Consider the following 6896-nt stretch of genomic DNA (forward strand, 5'->3'; position numbering starts at 1 on the left):
TGTTCTGCCACACTCCAGCCTGGGTGGCAGAGTGAGACCCTGTCTCAAAACAACAACAACAATTAAAAAAAAAAAAAAAAGAATATCTTTATTTCTGACTTGGGGGCTTGCAGGTGGCTGAACTATTTCTGTGGAATGATCTGGAAACCCACACATATGTGAAGCCAGGTCAGGGCTTTGAATTCTTTGAATTATCAGGCTGAGGCAGGCAAGTTTGTCACTCCTCAAGGTAGATGAACTCATGATCTCCAGTCTACCCTTTCACAGACTGTGTGGCTTTTCAAGGATCACATTTCAAAGGGATCTCAGGCACAATTTCCATTTGAACTGGGTCCAGATACAATTTCCATTTGAACTGGACCTCAATGTAGTAGTCTCTCATTGTCTGAAGTATCACTCGGAGTTCTTTGTCTCACAACCATGAAAATTAAGGAGCATGGGCACCAAGGATGAGGCTGGAGTGAAAGTTTAATAAGCTAAAGAAGAAAGCTCTCTGCCGTGGAGAGGGGGTCTGAAAGAGGCCATTATTATTTATTTATTTATTTGAGACAGAGTTTCACTCTTGTTGCCCAGGCTGGAGTGCAATGGCATGATCTCGGCTCACCACAACCTCCACCTCCCGGGTTCAAGTGATTCTCCTGCCTCAGCCTCCTGAGTAGCTGGGATTATAGGCATGCACCACCACACCCAGTTAATGTTGTATTTTCAGTAGAGACGGGGTTTCTCCATGTTGGTCAGGCTAGTGTCGAACTCTCCTCAGGAGATCCACCCACCTCGGCCTCCCAAAGTACTGGGATTACAGGCATGAGCCACCGTGCCCAGCCAAAAGAGGCCATTTTTACAGTTGAATGCAAAAGCTTTTATAAGAAACCAATGAGGGCTGGGCATTTCATTTACATAAGGTGTGAATTTCTCCTATCTCCACCCCATCCTTCTAATGCGCATGGGGGCCCTTAGCTTAATTTACTCCATATTGCTTTAATTTTTTTTTAAATTAGCCATATTTTGCAAAAAAAAAAAAAAAAAGTGCATACATCCTATAATGTCCTATTTTATCTAGTAACTCTAGCCTAGGGCCTCATCTCCTGACCTGACACGGGCATTAAAGCAAGCTCCTGGCCACTGACCCTCAGTGACCATTCAGAGCAGAGACGTGATCAATTCATTGCCTATCATCTGTGGCGTTTAGTTTCCTCTTTGTTTCTGGATTCCTAGGATTTCCCTTTCTTTCATGGGAGCTCAACTGGGCATTGAAAATAATTTTTTTTAATTGTATTAAACATTTCAAAGAGTTTCAATAGGAAGGTTTTCTGGTTCTCCCTGCCTGACAAATCAGAAACATATGGAGAGGTTTTTCAGTACATGTTTCATAGCCCTTCTTTCTCTGCCAAAATTCTGATATAGCCCCCTGGAGAACAACAAAATCTGGATGGAGTTTGGGCCAGAATTGGGGTGGGGTATAGATTGGCTCCTATGTGCTTGGAAAATAACTCACAACCCACTTTCCCAGTGTTGATTCAATTCTTTGTGTCTTAGACATTTTTTCTCATTTTGTTTTGTTTGAGACAGGGTCTCGCTCTGTCACCCAGGCTGGAGTACAGTGGCACAATCTTAGCTCACTGTAGTCTTGGCACCCCCGGGCTCAAGCCATCCTCCCGCCTCAGCCTCCCACATAGCTGGGACTACAGATGCGCACCACCATGCCTGGCTAAGTCTTTTTTTTTTTTTTTTTTTTTGAGACGGAGTCTCGCTCTGTCACCCAGGCTGGAGTGCAGTGGCGTGATCTCGGCTCACTGCAAGCTCCGCCTCCCAGGTTCACGCCATTCTCCTGCCTCAGCCTCCAGAGTAGCTGCTGGGACTACAGGTGCCCACTACCACACCCGACTAATTTTTTGTATTTTTAGTAGAGATGGGGTTTCACCATGTTGGCCAGGATGGTCTCGATCTCTTGACCTCGTGATCCACCCGCCTCGGCCTCCCAAAGTGCTGGGATTACAGGCGTGAGCCACCGCGCCCGGCCAATTTTTTGTATTTTTAGTACAGACAGGGTTTCACCATGTTAGCCAGGTTGGTCTTGATCTCCCGACCTTGTGATCCGCCCGTCTTGGCCTCCCAAAGTGCTGGGATTACAGGTGTGAGCCAGCACGCCCGGCCCTGGCTAAGTCTTAGACTTTTGTTTCCCCAACGTCTAACACAGTTTCATGGCCCATAGAAGATACTGAGTGCATGAATGAGGAATGCACGAATGACTCTTGGCAGACACTTCGTGGTCAGCATAAAAGAGGGAGAAAGCTGGCTGGGCAAAGTGGCTCACACCTGCAATCCCAGCACTTTGGGAGGCCGAGGCCAGTGGATCACGGGAGGCTGAGGCTGGTTCAAGACCAGCCTGGCCAACGTGGTGAAACCCATCTCTACTAAAAATACAAAAAATTAGTTGGGCGTGATGGCAGGCGCCTATAATCCCAGCTATTCAGGAGGCTGAAGCAGGAGAATCTCCTGAACCCAGGAGGCAGAGACTGCAGTGAGCTGAGATCGTGCCATTGCACTGCAGCCTGGGCAACAAGAGTGAAACTTCGTCTCAAAAAAAAAAAAAAAAAAGGGGGAGGGAGCGGATAAAGCTTATCTTGCATGTCTAATATATGATCAAACTAGATGGTACCCGATACAGCAGAGCACATAGTAATTGCTCGAGAAAGGTCATTATCCAGCAGAGCACAGTGGTTCATGCCTGTAATTCCAGCACTTTGGGAGGCTGAGGCAGGAGAATCATTTGAGGCCAGGAGTTCAAGACCAGCCTGGGCAACATTATGAGACCATCCCCCATCTCTACAGAAAAGTTTTTACAAATTAGCTGGGCATGGTGGGGTGTGCCTGTAGTCCCACCTACTTGGGAGGCTGAGGTGTGAGCATCACTTGAACCCAGGAATTTGACGCTGCAGTGAGCTGTGATTGCACTGCTGCACTCCAGCCTTGGTGGCAGAGTGAGACTCCAGATAAATAAATAAATGGAGGAGCTCACCACCATCCCCATGGGCTGAGCCAGGCTCGCACCACTGCACTCCAGCCTGGGCGACAGAGCGAGACCCTGTCTCAGAAAATAAAAAGAATTTTTTTTTTTTTTGAGACACAGTCTCGCTCTGTCGCCCAGGCTGGAGTGCAGCAGTGTGATCAGGGCTTACTGCAGCCTTGCACTTTTTGATGTTGTTGTTGTTCTTAGTTTCTTTGTTTGTGTTTAACGCTAAAAGATATTCTCCAGCAGAGAGCTGGTGCCATCAACAAGGAAAGAGAAAAAAGGAGAAGGGGCTCAAGTACTTGATACTTGATCACAGTCACGATATTCTCTAACAGAGAAGGCAGGGGCTTGATTTAAATAAGGCCGGGCACGGTGGCTCACGCCTATAATCCCAGCACGTTGGGAGGCTGAGGTGGGCAGATCACCTGAGGTCAGAAGTTCAAGACCAGCCTGGTCAACATGGCGAAACCCGTCTCTACTAAAAATACAAAAATTAGCCGGGCGTGGTGGTGGGCGCCTATAGTCCCAGCCATTCGGGAGGCTGAGGCAGGAGACTTGCTTGAACCCAGGAGGTGGAGGTTGCAGTGAGCCAAGATCGTGCCACTGCATTCCAGCCTGGGCAACAGAGTGAGACTCTGTCTCAAAAAAAAGAAAAAGAAAAAAAGAAAAAAATTTTAATACAAAAACAGCAATGACTGATTTTATGGAGAAGGCACTGGCCAGGAACAAATTCCCATTCCCACCCTTGAACCCTCCAAGAAGCTGGTGGTTGATAGCTTGTCGGTAGTGCTGCTGTCCTTTCTTCAGCCAGGGAGGGGTTCACAAAGTCGAGTGTGAGGCTGGAGCCCTCCTTACAGCTCTCATATTCCCTCTTACCAGCCCCTGTCCTCACATGGCTGCAATCTGCCCAAGCATCACACCCTTCCTTAGTGTCCGCAGAGAGCCTGCGGGGAACGGACAAGATCAACCCTGCCCCACAGGCACTCCCGATCTGTTTGGCAGGTCAAAAGGAAATCCATATGGCCCTTGAGAACTTGTTGAGGGACAATAGTTGTCACTGGGAAGGGGAATTGGATGGCCTGTTGCCCAGAGTATGCGGGAGACAAACTTTATACCATATACCCCTGGAAGGTTTTTGTTTTTTTTTTTTTTTTAGAGACAGAGACTCACTCTGTTGCCCAGGCTGGAGTGCAATGGTGCGATCTCGGCTCACTGCAACCTCCGCCTCCTGGGTGCAAGCGATTCTCCTGCCTCAGCCTCCTGAGTAGCTGGGATTACAGGCGCCCGCCACACCCATCTAATTTTTGTATTTTTAATGGAGATGGGGTTTCACCATGTTGGCCAGGCTGGTCTTGAACTCCTGACCTCAAGTGATCCCCCGGCCTCGGCCTCCCAAAGTGCTGGAATTATAGCTGTGAGCCACCGTGCCTGGCCTCATGGATAGTTTTTGAATCTTGCATATTGTGCAAGTAAACTTACTTTTTTTTTTTTTTTTTTTTTTTGAGATAGAGTCTTGCTCTATTGCCCAGGCTGGAGCGCAATGGCGCGATCTCGGCTCAGTGCAACCTCCACCTCCCGGGTTCAAGCGATTCTCCTGCCTCAGACTCCTGAACAGCTGGGACTACAGACGTGTGCCACCACACCCAGCTAATTTTTGTATTTTTAGTAGAGACGGGGTTTCACCAAGTTGGTCAGGCTAGTCTCAAACTCCTGACCTCGTGATCTGCCCGCCTTGGCCTCCTAAAGTGCTGGGATTACAGGCGTGAGCCACCGCACCCAGCTGTAAACTTACTTTTAAAAATAAAGGCTGGGCGCAGTGGCTCACACCTGTAATCCCAGCATTTTGGGAAGCCGAGGCGGGTGGATCACATGAGGCCAGGAGTTCAAGACCAGCCTGGCCAACATCTCTACTAAAAATACAAAAAGTAGCCTGGTGTGGTGGCACACGCCTGTAATCCCAGCTACTCGGAGAGACTGAGGCAGGAGAATTGCTTGAACCGGGGAGCCAGAGGTTGCAGTGAGGCGAGATTGCGCCACTGCACTCCAGCCTGGGCAATAGAGCCAGACTCCATCTCAAAAAAATAAAATAAAAACAACAGGCCAAGCCCAATGGCTCACGCCTGTAATCCCAGCACTTTGGGAGGCCAAGGTGGGTGGATCACCTGAGGTCAGGAGTTTGAGACCAGCCTGGCCAACATGGAGAAACCCTCTCTCTGCTAAAAATACAAAATTAGCCGGGCATTGTGGCACATGCCTGTAATCCCAGCTATTCGGGAGGCTGAGGCAGGAGAATCACTTGAACCCGGGAGGCGGAGGTTGTAGTGAGCTGAGATCGCGCTACTGCACTCTAGCCTGGGCAACAAGAGTGAAACTCCGTCTCAAAAAAAAGAAAAAAAGTCGTCCTGATCCTACTCAACTTTGTGCCCCACCCCCAAACTGGAAACGGGCAAGGCCTATTCCAAAGCCCTGAGGCTTCCTCTCCGGCCTGGCTGACCTCCAGGCTGGCTAATCCATTCATCAGCCACTTCCTAGGTCCAAATTCAAGGTATGGAATCCAGGCCAACCACTTCCTTCTATCTTGACCTCCACCAAGGACCTGGGAGACCTGGACAAGGGCAGGGTTAGAATGCAGGTTCCACGCCCTGGGATTAGGCTATGACCTGAGCCGTCCCAGCTACTAGGGCAGTGATGAGTTCCTCCTTCCTTTCTACGGCTGCCCTGTCCAGTATGAAAGCCTCTAGCCACATGTGGCTACTTAATCTTAAATGAAAAGTAATTCAAATGAAATATAATTGAAAAGTCAGTTCCTCAGTCACATTGGCTACATTTCCCAGTGCTTGATAGCTCAGCGAATAGCTCCCTGTGTATTTCTGATTTTGCATGCAAAATAATCTGGTCCAGGTGTGGTGGCTCACGCCTGTAATCCCAGCACTTTGGGAGGTCGAGGAGGGCGGATCACATGAGGTCAGGAGTTCGAGACCAGCCTGGCCAACATGGTGAAACCCTGTCTCTACTAAAAATACAAAAATTAGCTGGGTGTGGTGGCACACACCTGTAATCCCAGCTGCTCAGGAGGCTGAGGCAGGAGAATAGCTTGAACCTGGGAGGCGGAGGTTGCAGTGAGCCGAGATTGTGCCACTGCATTCCAGCCTGGGCAACAGAGCAAGAGTCTGTCTCAAAAAATAAACAAACAAACAAACAAATAATCTGAACATTTTCCCATCACAAAATCCTTAAAATGGTCAATAAAATGTAAGAAAAATTTATTTCGGCCAGGCGCGGTGGCTCACGCCTGTAATCCCAGCACTTTTGGAGGCCGAGGCAGGCGGATCATGAGGTCAGGAGATTGAGGCCATCCTGGCTAACATGGTGAAACCCCGTCTCTACTAAGTACACAAAAATGAGCCAGGCATGATGGCGGGTAGCCTCCGGCTACTTGGGAGGCTGAGGCAGGAGAATGGCGTGAACCCAGGAGGCGGAGCTTGCAGTGAGCCGAGATTGCGCCACTGCACTCCAGCCTGGGTGACAGAGAGAAATTCCATATCAAAAAAAAAAGAAAAAGAAAAATTTATTTCAAATTCACAGCTGCATTTCCAAGAAAGAAAAGGAAATCTCCAAAGGCAGAAACGAGAAAAGACTGATCCATGCAAAGAACAACTGGTGAGCTCTCATTGCTTCTGCCCCGGAGTGAGGATGGGGTGAGCAATCGGGGCTTATGTTTTGGTTATTTATTTATTATTATTATTGTAAGACAGGGTCTTGCTCTGTCACCCAGGCTGGAAGGCAGTGGCACAACCATAGCTCACTGCAGCCTCGAGCTCTTGGGCTCAAGTCATCCTCCTGCCTCCGCATCCTGATTAGCTGGGACAACAGGTGTGCACTA

This window comes from Homo sapiens, chromosome 7, assembly GCF_000001405.40.
Source record: "Homo sapiens chromosome 7, GRCh38.p14 Primary Assembly".
Lineage (NCBI taxonomy): Eukaryota > Metazoa > Chordata > Mammalia > Primates > Hominidae > Homo > Homo sapiens.